This window comes from Homo sapiens, chromosome 6 (assembly GCF_000001405.40).
Source record: "Homo sapiens chromosome 6, GRCh38.p14 Primary Assembly".
In the NCBI taxonomy this organism is placed as follows: domain Eukaryota; kingdom Metazoa; phylum Chordata; class Mammalia; order Primates; family Hominidae; genus Homo; species Homo sapiens.
In genome coordinates, this window is record NC_000006.12 from 82818724 (window position 1) to 82837837 (window position 19114).

Below are 19114 nucleotides of genomic sequence, written 5' to 3' on the forward strand. Positions count from 1 at the left end.
GAGAGATTTAAACAAGTATAAGTGTGCATAGAAATGATCCATACTCATGGTGGAGGTGAAGACTGTGATCCACATGCCAAAGTCATTAATAAATGGACACCCAGAGGCTGCCAGATGACATAAACCAGGAAATAAAAAGAATGATAGAGCTGAATGGCATGAGTTTCAAAATATTTTTTTCTTATAGAAGAGTAAGAGAGTGCTAAGTTGGAAGAAGCAAAGATAACAACAGTTTGTTTCATCACCAACCGCAGGTTTGGCACGAGTAGTAAAAGAATAAATAGCACTGCTTTGAGAGAGCTATAAGAAACGTCCTGTCCTCAGAAGATGGGCTGGTTTCAGCAAAGGCAAGAAGGACTTGGGAAAATTGAGAAGAGGTTAGGATACAAGGGCCTCTGTCTATTAGACTGTGAGATCCTGGAGATCAAGGATTCTGCCATATTGATGAGGTAGTTTAGACCTATGGTTCTCAAAGCTTTAGAGTGTATCAGAATCACTTGCAGGGCCTGCTAAAACACAGATCACTGTGTCCCACCCTCAGTTTCTGATTTACTAGACTTCAGGTGAGCTCAAAAATATGCATATCTAACAAATTCCCAGGAGATGCTGATGCTGCTGTCTGGGAATCACATTTTGAGAACTCCTGGGATAATCTATGCTGTGTGATAACAAACCCTGAAATCCCATTGGCTTAATAAAATAAAAGTTTATTTTCGCTTATTTGAAGTGTAACTGAGTAGCTCTCCAGGGCAGTCCTCTTCTGAGCAGAAATCCAGGAATCCAGGTTGCTCCTCCCTTGTAGTAATGCCATCTGGAACTTGTGGCCTCTAAGGTCAAAAGGCAAGGGAAGAGAGACATGGAGAGTCACTTGAGATGTTTTCAGCAGTCAGTTCTGGAAATGGTTTATTATCTCTGCTCAGCTCCCATTGATGAGAACTTAGTCTCATGGTTCAAACATTCCTGCAAGGGAGACTGGGTGTAAATGTAAAGGAGAGAACATGAATGTTTTGTGAACATTAATCATCTCTGTCAGGGCATCTTCTGTCTCTAACTTCAGCAGAGGGAATGATACCAGTTAAGATCAAGAGGTCAATGTATATTGCCTGGTTCAATAAATGGAATAGAATTTAATAGTTATTTACTAAAACCTGGGTTTTAGCTTTCCTTCAGACAAAGCACCCCTTACAACTAACTGCTATTACCTATTCATATCCCCAACACACACACACACACACAAATCATGGCCTCCTCTGAGTTATCTTTTCTCACCTTGCCAGGCTCAACTTTTCATTGCTACATTTGGGACATTCATAGATTGAAGTGATATGCACATGCTGAAATGGAAAAGGAAATTATACTGATTAAAAAAGCAAGGCTATTTCAAGTTCACTCCCCTTTGCTATGAATTCAAACCTTTGAAGTAGAGTATTGGGTTCAACAAGCAGCCTTATTTTTGAGAAGGCTATACCCTTGGGATGCTCCACTTCCCGTATTACCTTCAAGGTCTTTATTATATTCTAGGGCTGGAGATGGCCGAGTGACAGGAGAGCTGACAGTTCTATTAGCCATAGAGGGAGGACAGGTCAATCAAGACTTCTCACATCTCTAGGTAATAAACTGGGTTTCCAAAAGTAACCCAGATTCCAGCAGGACGGGCCGCAAAGTCTCGTTACAAGATGAAGTGGGCTCTTCAAGGGCAGCTTTTACCTCTAATATCCTCCAGCACCCACTTGAAATAGAAAGCATTAGTCTCATTTCTAACATGCTTCCTGCCAACCTCTGGTAGTACCTAGTGCAGAGTACAGAAATACAAACAAGAGAAAGACAGCAATTTTCTGGGCTCCATGGTGCCAGGAGAGCAAGCTTTATCCTCTACCACTGTGGTCTTGCAGAAAGGAAAAGATGATATGATGGGTACTTGAGGTAAACAGACATTTTGATTCCAATCCATGGAGATGAAAGAGGTAACGTTTTAATCTTATTTTCATCTCATTTTCATATTATTTTTTATCTCCAATTGAAGCACAAATCTCACAATGCTTAATAATTACTTTGTGTGACAAGTACATCTCTTTTAGGAAAAATGAGAAAACTAAGGAAAAAAATGAAAGAAATTCCAATGAGGAGTAAAAATGTACTTATTATTCAGTGTCTCAATATAATTGATATAATGGAGAAGTTTCAGCAGTTAGATGTTTTCTTAGAAATATTTTCACAGCATATCATAGATAAAAATTACATTAAAACATGTAGTACCTAGCTGCTGCTTTGAATGTTTGCATAGTACAAATATGTTTAGCCTCAAGTTTTCATGACAGAGACCAAAGGAACAAAAAGTTAGTTTCTTAATTCTTGACCTTAGTGAGATGCCTTTCAAAAGGAGGCTGAGACATTTGTAATAACTGTCACTGAATTCACTTTTCAGACATAAAACTGTGCTGAGACTTACACAAATATGATCTGCATTCAGATTTCTACGCATCTTGGGAAATGATTGGCTGAATAATATTGTATTTGTAAAATGTTATTGTGGCTTAAGAGGCAGTCCACAGGGAGGAGAAGTTGTTTCAGCATCAGTAATGAATGCCTTATTTTTTTATATGCTGCTGTAGAGATCTGAGACCCAGAGCTGTCCAGTCTCTATCAACACGCAACGCTCCACAGATCAGTGTTTATTAGGGTGCTTTTAAAGAGACAAAAATGATATTGTTCTAGGATCAATTCTGCATTCAGTCTGTAAATGCAGTCGTCCCTTGGTATCCATGGGGAATTGGTTCCAGGACCCCCCTCAAATACCAAAATCCACGGATGCTCACATCCCTTAGATAAAGTGGGGTAGTATATGCATATACCCTATGTACATCCTCCCATATACTCTAAATCATCTCTAGATTACATTTAATACATAATACAATGCCTATATATCACTTCATTCACATAGAATCAACATAGTGCTTGGCATATGGCAAATTCAAATCTCGCTTTTTGGACCTTTGTGGATTTTTTTAATATTTCAAAAATATGTAAAAGATTTGTAAAATCTGCAGTTGGTTGCATCCATGCAGTTGGATAGGAACCTGTGGATCTGGAGGGCTGACTGTATTTATTGGAGGGCTATTATGTTCAATAGAAATACTTCTACATAATTTTCTACAATACTTAACTGAATATAGAGAAAAGCAAAAGCATGAGCCTAGGAACCATATTTCAGATTTCAGAACGTAAATAGTGAGAGCAAGTTTAAGGGATAAATATATGTGAAATTGCATTGTAACTTATTCAAAACCTATGTGGTATAATGGTAGGGTTTTTTGGATTTTTCAAATGTGAGACTTAAGTTTCTGTATCACTCTATCATTTTCTATCTGTGGATCACAGAAAAATTACTTAAGCTCACTGAGCCTCAGTTTCCTTATCCGTAAAAGAAACATAATATTATTTACCTGTAGAGCTGACATGAGAATTAAATGAGATATATGAAAGAGCCTAATGTGTCATAAATGTTCAATAAATGGTAGCCATAACTGAGCTATATTATCATTCAGCCTTCTGTGAACAGGTTATATTCTATTAATATATTAATTACATATATTATATTTATATATATTTATATATATTAAATGCTGCTTATCGGCCAGGCATGGTGGCTCACACCTGTAGCCCCAGCATATTGGGAGGCTGAGGCAGGAAGAGTGCTTGAGCCCAGAAGTTGGAGACCAGCCCAGGAAACACAGTGAGTAGAGACCTCATCTCTACAAAAAATAAACAAAATTAGCTGGGCATGGTGGGACATGCCTGCAGTCTCAACTGCTTGGGAGGCTGAGGTGGGAGGATGGCTTGAGCCTGGGAAGGCAAGGCTGCAGTGAGCCAAGATCATGTCTCAAGAAAAAAAAAAAAAAGAAAAGAAATAAAAATGATTTTTATTGAAAAGGATGTGATTTCTAAAAAGAAAGCTTTGTTTATAAAAAATTTTTAAAGGATTTTTAAAAAGTTTAAATGATCATACATTTAACAGTTAACATCAAACATATATTAGCTTGTAAGTATCTATTAACCTAGAAAGTAGGTTTATGTTCCAAAGTAAATGTGGATGAAAAATAAGAGAAAATTAATTCTGATTTGCTATTTCATTATACTTTCTATTGGATGTTTGGATTTTTAAATTTCCATTGACCTTTAAACTGTTTATGTATCACAAGGCACATTTTTAAATGTTCTTTTGGACACATCCCTAGACAATTTAAAAGAAACAAGCTAATCCTGGATATCAACTACAGCACACACATTGAAGTTTACCAAACACCATGTAAGGGAAATGTGATTCCTGAGTCATAGGGTCTAAAGAATTGTAGACATGAAAGTTATTTTAAAAGTTGGTCATTTTTAATTAGCTCCTGTAACATCATTTGTCATGGTAAAGTGTGAGAGACCTGTTCATAAATATTGGAATTTGAAGGTTGCATTTATAGATAACATAGCTTCTAGGCTTTTTCTAACTGGTCAATTGTCTACAAGTCGTCTGTCACAAGGACTAGACACACATTCTTATAGCTCTCAAAAATATTCATTTCTAGAAGATCATAGTCACAGTTCCTTAAAAGAAAAACATTAAAAGACATGTGTTATTAAAAAATTAATATGTCTTTTTACCAATATGAAGTTCCTGGATTTCATTTGCCACACTGTTCAATGAGTTAAATGTCAGAAATCAGTAACAAAGCCTATATGTTCCATGCCATCTCTGACAACAGTGTAAATTAAAAGGCTGTCAAGTTATTTAGTTTTAAAGATGAAGGTAGACTTTCTGGCAGTCACATTTTCCATCACTGATGACTCTGACCATATCCAAAGAGGATATGAACTAACAAAACCCAGACAGGGCAGGAAGGAGAAGGACAAAAGGAAGTAAAAAGCATAATGAAAAACAGAAAAAGAACAGTTTCCATAGCAGAAATAGAAGTAATGGAAGTAAATAGTTATTTTTCCAACTACCTTGAATATAAACAGAACTCAAGAAAATCAGAAATTTTTTTTTTCAGTAAGATACAGTAAATAAACAAAAAGACATCCCTTCAGAATCAGCTGTTTTTAACTTAAATGCAATTGTCCTTGTGGGGAAAAACACACTCTAAGCAAACGTTTTCAAACTGCATTATAAATACAGATTATATTTCATGTCTTAGTGTTAGGAATGGCTGAGTACGCCTGCTAGACATTTGGCTCTCCTACCCAATCCAAGCAGTGGTACCAAGGCAGCAGCTCTGATGAAATGATTTGAGAATGAAAGGAGGATTTGGGAAACTAATTGGATTTCTTATCTAACTTGTCCTTTTGGAAAGAAATGAGTCTCATTTCTTTCACGAAAGTGAATTCTAGAATTAGGATTCATTTATGCTAATTTCTGTATAGATATCTGGTTGTGCTATTTTTATATACAATATCATATCTGTATATTTTCCCACAAAAATACTAAAATGAACAATCACACAAGCAAAGATTAGTGTTAATCTGTTCAGATGTCAAATTCCTATAGAGGTTAAAGACTAATACTTGATGGTGTTTATACTGTTACAGTGAGATACCATTAAAATAGATGGATTTAGAATACTGCTGTCAAAATATGCTCCCTAAATTGTAATTCAATACAGTAAAATTTCTGATTCAATAAGGCCCAGTGTGACTGTCAGGTAACATTACCTTGTAATGGATTCCACTACATACACGTTTATCCACACAAGCACATTAATAAATGTATAGGCAAAATGCCATGTTTTGAAAAATTGTGAACAGTAAATAGCATTCGTTTCTGATCTTTCTATTATTAATTTTTGTTTCTTCTGTAGCTGTCATGTATAACTAGGCTGTTTGCATTATATGAGCATTCCCCAGAATACAATATTTAAGAAAGAATTCTACAAATCCAAGATAGCAGTGTCCACAGGTCCCAGACATATGGTATATACTTGTCCTTTGAGTTACTGCTTGCTTAAAAAAACCAGAGTGGTTTCCAGCACAGACACAAGATGGGACAACTCCTAATGCACTTCCCTTCTTGGGTACTTTCTAGGTAACTGACATTGTCCAGCAGGTGTATATTTCTTCTCATTTGAGAGTCAAACGCAGAAGCTAGCATTGATTATGAATATGTGACAGAAAGAACATAGTAACATGTACAATGAGTTCAACCAAAAAAAACCCTATATATTCTTTCTGGGTTATGTGGTACTTTCACATGCTTAACAATACTGTAGATACCATTCTATAGTTTGCATGGGTTTAAGGTGATTCCAGACCCATCATCTTCCACTTCCCCTTCCATTCCTTTCCCTTCCCTAGAAACTTAGTTCTAAAGCCATTAGGTAGGACAGAATAACATAGGTGTCCAGACCAGGACGGGGACAGGAGGCACAGTGGTCCACAGCAGGTATCAGAGCCCAAGGAGGGTGAGGAAGGTATACGTGTCAGAAAGGACCCTGTGTGGGGTGTCAGAGCCAGAGCTGGGTGATGAGGGAACATGCCCAATGAAGGGTGTGATAGCTGTGATAAGAAATTGGTGACTTTTGGGAGAACTGATCAAATAAAAAATACATTAAGCATACTGGGTACCAGGTGTCTCCCTGTCAGAAAAGGGAACTACCAATATGAAAAGAGAGGAAACTAGCATGAGGCCTGTGGTGTTGGATTGGAAGGTATCAGGGTGAACTCATAGTTTTGTGTGTGTGTGTGTGTGTGTGTGTGTGTGTGTGTGTGTTTTCATACAGAAATAGATATACATAAAAATGTGTGTATACATGTATGTATTCACACACACACACACGTATATTCTCTAGCTCTGTCTACTGATATTGTGATCCCAGTAGCAAGGACCATATGAGCACTCAGATCTGAATACCGTTCTTCACTGAAAGAAATGAGAGCTCCTTGGAAAAGTGGCTAATTCCAGGGCCAGAGCAGGGAAAACATGAAATGAGCTGGATGGCACATCTTGTTGTGCCAGAAAACAAGAAAATGCTCACAGAATGAATGAGATATTTCAAAAGAATACAGAAATCATCCTGAAGGGGTTCCCACTGGTCAAATCTAAGACAATTGGGTCATTAAAATACTTAATGGTAATAATGAATTAAAATGCATTGAATTTGGAAACCCTAAGAAAATCGAGTTAGAAATAAATATGCAAGCAAATTGAAAGTATAATATTTACATATTTTTACAGTTTCACAACAATGTCCTACAAAATATTTGCTAATTACAGAGGAAAAAAAGAATAAGATTGTGGGGAAACCTGGCAGAAACTACTTTAATCAAGTGATGAAAGTGAACATCATCAGTAATGGAACTGATCAGAATTGGTGCCATGTGCGAGGATGCAATGAGAAAAAGCCTGCATCACTTCTGTGATGTTCCTGCAAAAGATGTATAATCAGAATCTAATCATGAGAAAACATCAGACAAACCTAAATTCAGGAACATTCTCCAAAAACAATGACTTGTAACCAAAAATAGCGAAGCTGTGAAAGTTAAAACAACAACAACAACAACAACAACAACAACAACAAACAAGTAAGGAAGTGCTCCAGAGGGAATGAGCCTAAAGAGACATGATACTGAATGCAACCTGTGATTCCGAACTGGATTATTTTGCTATAAAGTACATTATTAGGACATTTGGTGAATGGAGTCTGAAGATAAGATGGTCATACTTCATTCATGTTAATTTCCTGACTTTGATGGTTGTTATGGCTGAATCGTATCCTTCTCCCCAAATTTACATGCTGAAGCCTAACACCCAGCACCTCAGAAGTGACTGTTTTTGGAGACAAGGTCTTTAAAGAGGTGACAGAGTAGGTGGTTGCAGTGGCTCATGCCTGTAAACCCAGCACTTTAGGAGGCCGAGGCGGTCAGATCATGAGGTCAGGGGTTCGAGACCAGCCTGGCCAACATGGTGAAACCCCGTTTCTACTAAAAATACAAAAATTAGCTGGGCATGGTGGCAGACACCTGTAATCGCAGCTACTCAGGAGGCTGAGGCAGGAGAATCATTTGAACCCGGAAGGCGGAGGCTGCAATGAGATGAGATTGTGCCATTGCACTCCAGCCTGGGCGATAGGGTGAGACTCTGTCTCAAAAAAAAAAAAAAAAAAAGAAGCGACTAAGTTAACATGAGGCCATTGGGTGGGCCCTAATCCAATCTGACTGGTTTCTTTATAAAAGTAGGAAATTTGGACACAGAGAGAGAGATATAAGGAGTGCCATGTGAGGACACAATGAGAAGGCAGCCATCTGCCAGTCAAAGAGAGAGACTTCAGGAGAAACCAAAGCTGCTGACCCATTGATCTTGGACTTCCAACCTCCAGAACTGTGAGCAAAATAAATCTCTGTTGTTTAAGCCACCCAGTCTGTGATAGTTTGTTATGACAGCACTTTCAATTTAATATAATGATTATATTGTGGTTATGTAAGAGACTTCTTGTTTGAAGGAAATTAAAGAAACAGGAGTGATGAGGTTTTAGGTTACTAGCTTATACTTAAGTGTTTCAGGAAAAAATATTCTTTGAAATGGACTTACAAATTTTCTGTAAGTTTTTTATTGTTTCAAAATAAAAATATATATTACAACTTAAAAGTCCCAAAAGGAGTGTTTGCAGAGTTAAGAGAAGAGCAGAAAGGATAAACTCCATACTGTTTTTGACACATTCACACAAATGCTTTTCCAGGTCACTGCCAATGACAGGTTGAGTGGAAATGGGTTTAAACTGAAAGATTAAATATATGAGTGAACAGCAAACTATTGCAAGGACAAAAAACCAAACACCACATGTTCTCACTCATAGGTGGGAATTGAACAATGAGAACACATAGACAGAGGAAGGGGAACATCACACACCGGGGACTGTTGTGTGGTGGGGGGAGGGGGGAGGGATAGCATTAGGAGATATACCTAATGCCAAATGACGAGTTAATGGGTGCAGCACACCAACATAGCACATGTATACATATGTAACAAACCTGCACATTGTGCACATGTACCCTAAAACTTAAAGTATAATAATAATAAAATAAATAAAAAATAAAAAAAATATATGAGTGAAAATATATATCATCTCCTTAAATAGAAATGCTTTTACACTGTTGATGGGAACGTAAATTAGTTCAACCATTGTGGAAGACAGTGTGGCAATTCCTCAAGGATCTAGAACCAGAAATACCATTTGACCCAGCAATCCCATTACTGGGTATATACCCAAAGGAATATAAATCATTCTACCATAAAGACACATGCACACGTATGTTAACTGCAGCACTATTTACAATAGCAAAGATATGGAACCAACCCAAATGCCCATCAATGATAGACTGGATAAAGAAAATGTAGTACATATACCCTATGGAATACAATGCAGTCATAAAAAAGAATGAGATCACGTCCTTTGCAGGGACATGGATGAAGCTGGAAGCCATCATCCTCAGCAAACTAACACAGGAATAGAAAACCAAACACCGTATGTTCTCACTCATAAGTGGGAGTTGAACAATGAGAACACATGGACACAGGGAGGGGAACATCACACACTGGGGCCTCACAGGGGGTGGGGGTCAAGGGGAGGGAGAGCATTAGGACAAATACCTAATGCATGCGGGGCTTAAAACCTAGATGACAGGTTGATAGGTGCAGCAAACCACCATGACACATGTATACCTATGTAACAAACCTGCACGTTCTGCACATGTATCCCAGAACTTAAAGTAAAATAAAATTTAAATTTAAAAAAAGAAAATACATACCATCTCCTTTTAATAAAAGAGGCCCTAAAAGCATTGATTGACTGATTGATTGACCTGGTCTCACTCTGTTGCCCAGGCTGGAATTCAGTGGAGCAATCACTGCAGCCTCAATCTCCTTGGATCAAGTAATCCTCCTGCCCAAGCCTCCCCAGTAGCTGAGACTACAGGCACCAGTCACCACATTTAGCTAATTTTTTAAAATTTTTAGTAGAGACAAGGTCTCACTATGTTGCCCAGACTGGTGTTCAAGCAATCCTCCCACCTCAGCCTCCCAAAATGCTGGGATCACAGGCATGAGCCACCATGCCCAGCTGCTCTAAACGCTTTTACAAGTAGAAATTTCCTTAAATTTTATTTCTATATTTAACCGATTTAAGCATCTGCCTTCATGCTCTGTAACACTGTGGTTTCAATAGATTTCTATTCACAAACTCAATCTTGTGAGGCTTCCCAATTATGTAAGCAGTAAAAATGGAGTTACTCTGGATAAAATAATGGTTCTGGATGAAAAAAATCCAAGTTTACTCACCCTCCCTTCTCCTTCTCTCATAAGCTCAGGAATTGTGGGGTGCCTACTAAGTTTGTATTTCAATGAGGGCTCCTCTGGCTCTTTAGAAAGAGTGGTGTAGGTTTTAGGTCTTTATCCCCCCATAGACACACACACACTCATACCCAGGATTTCCTTAGCATGCATATGGGTCAGAGGAGGAGCCATGGCAAAAGGTTCTTGCCATGCTGGCAAGAAGATGGCACTGACATCTGGATGCTCTGGCACTTCAAGGTTAGCTTTACAGCCATTTCAAGGCTGCACATTTTTTCTGGAGTCCAGATAACCTCCAAAGCAAAGATTATGCTGTAATATCTGTCTAGACTGAACCAGAATACTTCTAAACCTACCTTCAGGAGCTGGGACTCTCAAGCATTGAGGGGATTGGTGTGTGTTGAAAAAGTAAGATAAAACATTGAGCTGCTGGACCCAAGAGCATCTAGACTAGAGTTGGCACCCAGAAAGCTTCAAGCGTAGCAATGGGTTCCTTGAGACTACCCTCCCTTGTTGCCCATAGCCTGCACCCCTTTAACACAAAGTCAGGATCTCCACCGTAAACTGCATTCTTGTTCAAAAATATTCATTGCTCCTGTTTGGGTAAAGATTATACTTTCCCACCCCCACTGATGTCAGGTTTGGTCTTGTGATTTCTTTTCAGCCAATAAAAAGTGCCAAAGTGACTTGTGTTACTCCTGGACAGAAGCTATAGGAACCAGCACATGGCTTGCTGTCTTTTTCCCCCTCTGTCACAAAGCTAGCAATGATCCAGGTAAAGCCTACTGTACCTGCCTGACCCCAGAGTCAACATTATGGGGAGCAGATTTGTAGTTTACCCATTGATGAACCTGTTTATGCTATCAATGTAGTGTGGATGAAAAATAAACCTTTAGGCTATACCTTTGAGGTTTTGGAGAAGTTCGTTAACATAGAAAACCTGGACCATTTTGACTAATACAATACCGTATTACCCAGTGTCATTTCATAAAAGCAAACAATTGATTAAATACTTTTCAAATATTTAGATGGATTATCAAATATTTGGTTTTAAAGATACCTTGAAAAAAATTGTGTCATATTGCTTTGTGTCTATCAAATGACTACTTGCTAGATAGTAAAGGTAAAACAGTTTGTAGACCCACAATTAGAGGTCACGAACACCATTTTAAAAATATACATTCATGCAGGGCTTTTCTTTTAACCCATCAGAGAGTGCATGCTAATTTTTTGCCCTTCCTTTATATCACGTATTACATTATCCACAGACCTTAGAGACACCTGTCCCCAACCACAAGTACCTGGGGATTGTAAGATTCTGTGCCACCTAGAGACTCATGATTGGAGCTATTTCTCACTCCTAGAATTTAAAGAACCAGAAAGTTCAAGTTCTACTGCAAGCCTCCATCTGAGAACATCACATTCAAAGGCCCCTTGTTGATAAATTATGCCATCTCAAGCAGGAGAGAGAGTAGTCGGGGCTGCTCCTATTTTTGGCTAAGAAAGAGATCTGATTCTGACAATCATCCTTCTGGAAAATGACTTTTCTACTATACCAAATTATAATAAAACAAATTTCTAAAACTCAACAGTAAGACCTAGGCAGTGTCCTACTCTTGTTTTAGCAAATCTTTTAACAAAATTAATAAAAATAGGAAAACTGTGTAACCATGACTATAAACCAAGCAACTGGAGTTCTTCCACTGGGAAGAATTTGTTTTTCTTTTAGTGAATTAGATGTTAATTCCCAAGATAATAATTTGTAAGTTTAGGACAGGAGGTGACAGATTGTCCCTCAATGGCTCAGAGAGGTAATTTGGCTAATATAATCTTGTTAATGAAGCTGGAATTTCACCAAAAATAATAGCTCAGCTCTGCCAGGGGTTGATAGAAATTCAAAAGGCCAGGCTAATGTTTTTAATTTCTGTAAAACAATATTTCTCAAACTTTATTTCTTAGAACACTATTATCCTGAAAGTTATTAACTAGAATTATGTGAGAAAAAGATGTTAATAAGTATTCTGTGAAAAATATTCAAATAAATTAGTGAAATGCCTAATATTATATCATCTTCTCTTTTTTTCCGATGTATATTAGCATATTAAAGACCCTGAAAAATAGTGCAATAAAGAAACTTGTTTTACATCATTTAACCAAGTGATTCACAAACTTACGGGGAGCACCATATAATATCCTTTGGAACTAGTAATTTTCTATAATTTGATAGGCTCCCTTGGAACTAGTAGTTCTTTGTAACTTGATCTAAAATATCAAATCTGTATAAACACCACAAGATGGTCACCCGGTTAGAACTGAATTTTCAAAACTGTCTCAAAAGTCCTCAGGGGTGATCAGACTCTGTGTGACAAAGATATACCAGTCTGAAGAGACACAGTTTAGAGCAAATGTAACCCACAAGATATCAGGCATGAAATGGTTAAACAGAAATACTCCTAAACTATTCCTGAGGCACTGCAAGTAGGGAGTGTTTAGAGGGGTTACATAGGAAGTATCATCTGGTTAGTCAAATAGTAGATGCATTTTCAACTTCAACTCCAGTTTGCAAATGTTTCTTCCAACCAAGATTTATACCCTCTGCTACCACCTCTCAACCCCCAGCCATCACCACCATGGTATACAGAAGAATGCAGATCCTACAGAAAGAGCATAGATTTAGAGCGCTCAGATTAAAGATACAAACATCTACAGCCCCACAAAGCCATCCCTGGGGTTACTAGGCAAAGACTAATCATATGATCTGTGATTAGCAGGCAACCAGTGACCTCAGCTGATCAGAAGACCCCATCAGTCCTCACCTCTGCTGGCCTCTGGTTCTGAACTGTCACCTGTGCTGTCCTAACTTGTGCCACATTGGCTTCTGCTATGCTAAGTACAGATCCTTGTAGGTCTCCCATTTTCTAGTGTCTTGAGAGCTTGGTAGAATCTTTTGAAGTGAAAAGACAAGTGCTTCCTCCAAGTAACACTCCTCCTGGCTGGATAGGGTCAGTTTCAAGTGTATGTAACATTCTTTCTCTTATATCTGAAATCATAACTTCCTCAGACCCTCAGCATCTTCACAGTTCCTACATGAAACCTGAATTTCATTGTCCTCTACCCTCATTTTCATAACATGCCCACACACACCTGAACTTCCTTGGAAGTCACAGCAAAAGACAGGTTATTATTGTTGCTTCCAGAAGATTCTTTGACCCCTCTGTATATCAGTGGATATAAATAGTTTTTTGAGACAATTACACATTTCACACATTACACTCAATTAAGTCTCAGTTCTAGACCACTTATGGCCCTTTATATATATTGTCTTAGTCTGTTCAGGCTGCTGTAAAATATCAGAGACTGGGTGGTTTAAACAACAGACATTTATTTCTCACAGTTCTGCAGGCTGGGGAGTCCAAGATCAAGGCACTGGCAGATCTAGTATCTGTGAGGGCCCTCTCTCTGATTTGCAGATGGCCATCTTCTCATTGTAGCCTCACATGGCAGAGAGCAGAGAAAGAGGCAAAGCTCTTTCATATCATTTTTTGTAAGGGTACTAATTCCATCATGAAGGCTGCACCCCCATGACCTAATTACCTTCCATAGCCCTGTCCCCAAACACCATCACACTGGTGGATTCAACATATGAATTTGGCGGGGAGGGCATAAACATTTAGTCTATAACTTTCTGCCCCTAATTCCCCAAAATCCATGTCCTTCTCACATGAAAAATACATTTATTCCATCCCAACAGCCCCAAAAGTCTTTACTCATTCCAGAATCAACTCTAAAATCTAAAGTCCAGAGTTTCATCTCAATATCATCTAAATGTGATATGGGTGAGTCTCAAGGTACTATTCATCCTAAAGTAAAATTTCTCTCTAGCTGTGACCTGTGAAGCTAAACAAGTTATGTGCTTCCAAAATACAATGGTGATTCAGGCATAGAAGAGACATCCCATTCCTGTAATCGCCTAACCGGTTCTTCCTACCTGCTGCACAGGCAAAAATCAATTCAGTGAGACCGTGGCATTGCAATAAACAAATAGTTTAATTGATGCAAGTCTGGCCATGCAGAAATTGGAGTTATTACTCAAATCAGTCTCTCAAAAGGCTCTGAGTTTAGGGGTTTTCAAGGACAGTTTGGTGGGCAGGGGACTAGGGAATGGATGCTGCTGATGGGTTGGGGATGCAATCATAGCAGTGTGGAAAATCGTTCTTATGCCCTGAGTCTGCCTCTGGGTGGGGTCAGTCACCTGTGAGTGGGGTTAGTCATTTGCCAATATGCAAAAGTCTGAAAAACATCTCAAAAGACCAATCTTAAGTTCTACAGTAGTGACATTATCTACAGAAGTAATTGGGGAAGTCACAAATCTTGTGACCTCCAGAACAATAGTTGGTATCATTTAACTACATCTACATTTTAGCAAAATTCATGCCCCTCTCATAATCCAACCTCGTGGCCTTTCATTAGTTTTACAAAAGGCAGTTTAGTTTGGGGAGGTGCTATTATCATCCTTGCTTTAAGATTAAACTATAAACTAAATGTCTCCCAAAGTTAGCTTGGCCTACACCTAGGAATGAGCAAGGACAGCCAGCCTGTGAGACTAGCAGCAAGATGGAGTCAGTCATGTTAGATTTCTCTCACTGTCATTATCTTTGCAAAGGTAGTTTCATTCCAAAAGGGAGACAAAAGAGAAAAGGAAGAGTGACAGGCCTCAAGCAAGTTCAAAACCTAGCAAGGCCAACTCTATGAGATCTTAAACCTCAGGAATAATCTTCTTTGACGCAATGCTCTGCTTTCCAGATCTACTGAGATGACAGTCCAAAATATTATGCCCCTGATCCCCCAAAATTCATTTCAATGTATGAGTTCAGTTATAATTAACAAAACTGTCATATGGAGATCGGCTGCTAACCTGAACTAAGTGAAACAGTAGATTCAAGATTGGGTGAATTTTGGTTGACAATCTACTAAGCCAACAGAGTAGACTCAAGATTCTGAATCCCTCATAGAATATTCTCTGGGTATGTTGCATATCACACTGCACAACTGCAAGCTTACTTGTTACCTATCTGGGGGAAACGGAGATTCAACCTACACAGAAGTACTCTTAATTTTCAGGTTAAGAGACAACATCAATCCAGCAGAATGTCCTCCCATAAGCTTTGGTATATTCACATTTCAATTTTGCTACTCCCTTTCTGGTTTTAGTACAGGGAGTCCATTTTAACATATCACTTTTCTCCAGATAAGTATAATCTTTTTAACCTTCTTGCAACCTAAGGAAGATTGTCTCCCCTGACCTCTTGAGCCTGACTTTTTATTACCTGGCCCCATGTGTTTGTTTACTTGTATGTTATGTTGTTCTTGCACTGCTATAAAGAAATACCCAAGGCTGGGTAATTTATAAGAAAAGAAGTTCAATTGGCTCACCGTTCTGCAGGCTGTACAGGAAGCATAGCACCGGCATGCGCTTCTGGTAAGGCCTCAGGAAGGTTACAATCATGGCAGAAGGCAAAGGGAGAGCAAGGCATCTCACTAGGCAAGAACAAGAGAGTAGTGGGGGAATGTAATACACACTTTTAAACAACCAGATCTCTCAAGAAATCAGTCACTATTGCAAAGTCGGCCCCAAGCCATAAGGGACCCACTCCATAACCCAAACACCTCCAACCAGGCCCCACCTCCAAAATTGGGGATTACATTTCAATATGAGATTTGAGGGAACACATATCCAAACTATATCAAATTGGGAAGTTCCTGTTGTTGTTTAGAGGTTTTTTCCTCCTATCCTAAGTAATGTTCATCCCCTCCAAAAGTTTATGTACTGAAAAGGCTACCAGCCTTTCAGCTGAAAATTATGACAAAAGCAACAATATATTTACAGCATTTGGACCAAACTCTTGACAAATAATTTAAATATAATTGGTAGAGTTAGGAAAAAAAAAACCTTTCCAAAATTTTTTTCAAAATCTTATTGTGACTACATATAACAGAGATTCCTTAATGATTTTAACTATATTTTATTTATACATATTTTATTTGTACATTTTACATACCTCTATAATTAATGTCATTGTTTTAGACATTTAAATTTATAAATGTTTACCTATCTACAATTATTTTACCTATTTTTATTATTTTACCTATTTTTATTATTTTATACATATTTAACTATATTTTGTGTTATACTCTTTTTTAAGACAAATATGTTCAAATATAGTAACCTTAATAGCAACAACTACATATTTAGATTCAGGCTCTTTCAAATACGAAACTATTCCTGCATAATATGGCAAATGTATTGGAACCTATCACTTCCCTAATACTGGAGTAGCATTTCAAGAATCATGATCTAGGCATAAGAAATATAACTTCAAAACTGCCATTTTTATGTGATGAAAAGGTAGGTTACAAATTAAAAAAAATTTTGAAAACCTGCCATCTCCAGTTATGGGAAAATCATGACCTGTCGCCTAATTTGGGTAGTGATGCTTCCTAATACTGCCTCTCCCTGTGGAGGTGAGATTAGCCAGAATTCTCCTCCAACCTACACTGCTGAAGCCATTGGGAGAGGGGAGAGGAAGCACAAAGAAATATTGGAACTTGAGTGGAGAACTCAGGAGAATTTGTTCTGGCTGACAGCTGAGGAAAATAGCTATGGGGTGGGAGTGGCACAGGTACATGCTATTTCAGAACAAGTGGTCAGGTGGATTTTGTAATTATTAAACATATTTAAAGAAATATAGTTCCATTATTTTCAGGTACACACTACCAGCAGGTAAGGTGAGGAAGTATAATTTAGACAGTTTCTCAAGGGAATTGCCTTAAAGAAATTCTGAGTCACTTGTAATTAACAAATCAATTTGAGGATAAATGGGCATTTCTGAAGTGCTTGAAGGTATTTAAAAGATTTTGTTCTCCTCTGAATATAAGCAACTGCCTATAATTTGGTTTATAGCATGGCTTTCTTTATCGCTTTCCAGCAACGGCTTCAACTTGACCTAATGACCACAGCAGGACGCTAACCATGAGCTTCATTTCAGCCACAAATTGCGCTGACATCAAGGCACTTTCTCCCAGAGTTCCTTTAAAACCTTGAGGTCTACATTTTCCTTGGCTATGGCTCAAAACAGAAGCAACTCTTATCACCTGTGTCCTCCACCCACGTCCCGGTTTTGCTCTGTGCTTCCTCTCCCCACCCTCAGGTTTCACGCTTCCCTCCTTCCCAGAGATTTTCACTGAAACATGATAAACAAGCTCCCCCTGCACCCTTCAGCTCCTCACAGAAAGCTTCCCCTTCCCTGCCTCACTGCCCTGGTTAAAACCCGCCTCGCCTAAAATGGCTGCTCCTTACCATTGACAGGCTTCAGGAGACAGTTCCAGCTCATTTTCTTACTCTGCGCCTGGGGGTTGGGAATTGGAGTCGGCATTAAAAAAAAAAAAAAAATCATACATGCCACTTCCAGACCACTGGGTTTTGTTGTATTGTACAAAAATCCCCATTCCGTTTAGGACACTGTCATTTGGCTATATGACTTTTTTTTTTTTTTTTTTTTTTTTTTTTTTTTTGAGACGGAGTCTCCCTCTGTCACCCAGGCTGGACTGCAGTGGCGCGATCTCGGCTCACTGCAAGCTCCGCCTCCAGGGTTCAAGCAATTCTCCTGCCTCAGCCTCCCAAGTAGCTGGGATTACAGGCGCCTACCATCACGCCCGGCTAATATTTGGTTTTTTTTGTTTGTTTGTTTTTTGTTTTTTTTTTTTTTTTTTCAGTAGAGACCAGGTGATCCGCCCGCCTCGGCCTCCCGAAGTGCTGGGATTACAGGCATGAGCCACCGCGCCCGGCCATATGACTTCTTACTCCACTCATCTCCGTCAGCTCTGACCTCCAGTGACTCCACCTCATTCTGAACTGTTCATTGACCTACTCGAATTTTTCCTCAACTCTGAGTTCCGTTGCCATCCTGTGAGACTTCATGCAGATGACCATTCAGGGCCCTAACCTAATGGTTCTTCACAGTTCCACTGATTGTAGCTTTTTGTCATTCCATCTATCCCTTCCCCTAATCACACTGGGGCACTTGTCATTGCTCAGAATTGCTCCTATTTTGAAAATTCATTCTCTATATTCTCTAACCTTCTGGCTCTGCCTTTCTTTACTCCTGCTATAGCAGTTCAGAAATCTCAGCCCCTAACACTTTTCTCTTCCAATTTACCAGTCCTTAATGTGTTCATTGTCTTTCCTGCCTAAAGCCTCAAGACACATGTTCCATCACTACCCCCTTACCCTCCTTTGTATTCTTTATTACAATGATAACTATCAAAAGTCATACTGTTTTTTTTTTTTTTATGACTCTTCTACTAGAGCGTAACCTCCTTAAGGGCAGGAACTCCAATTCACTGCTGCAATCCCAGGGTTTAATAGAGTGAGCCTCTCATGAACCTCATATACTGCACAGATTCATTAAATATCTGTGAAAGGAAGAAAGAAAGGCTATAATTGTTTCTTCACGTCAGAGACTGAGAACCTTTATTTAGTCCAATAAGTTTTAATTTGAAACAACTTTTCAGAAATGTGTATAATGATTCAGTACACCTAAAAATATATTATTCAACATTAGAGGGGTTGACTTAATACTTACTGGTACATCTATGTAAGAAAATACCAAGCAGTTAATGAAAAGATGCTCTAGAAGAATATCTAACAGTGTGAGAAAAGTTTGCAATATATCATTAAGAATGAAAAGCAAGTTGCAGTGCAGTATATACATACAGTACAATCTCATG

At 38.5% G+C, this 19114-nt stretch overlaps 1 long non-coding RNA gene across 1 annotated transcript; it reads right to left on the minus strand.

The window, feature by feature from the left end:
- Positions 1 to 686: 686 nt before the first annotated feature.
- LOC105377877 (uncharacterized) lies at positions 687 to 17757 on the minus strand. Its single transcript, XR_007059665.1, has 3 exons — positions 17685 to 17757; positions 15761 to 15865; positions 687 to 827 (listed from the first exon to the last, which is right to left on the minus strand). It is a non-coding gene; the product is annotated as an uncharacterized LOC105377877 (long non-coding RNA).
- Between the last annotated feature and the right edge of the window lie 1357 nt (positions 17758 to 19114).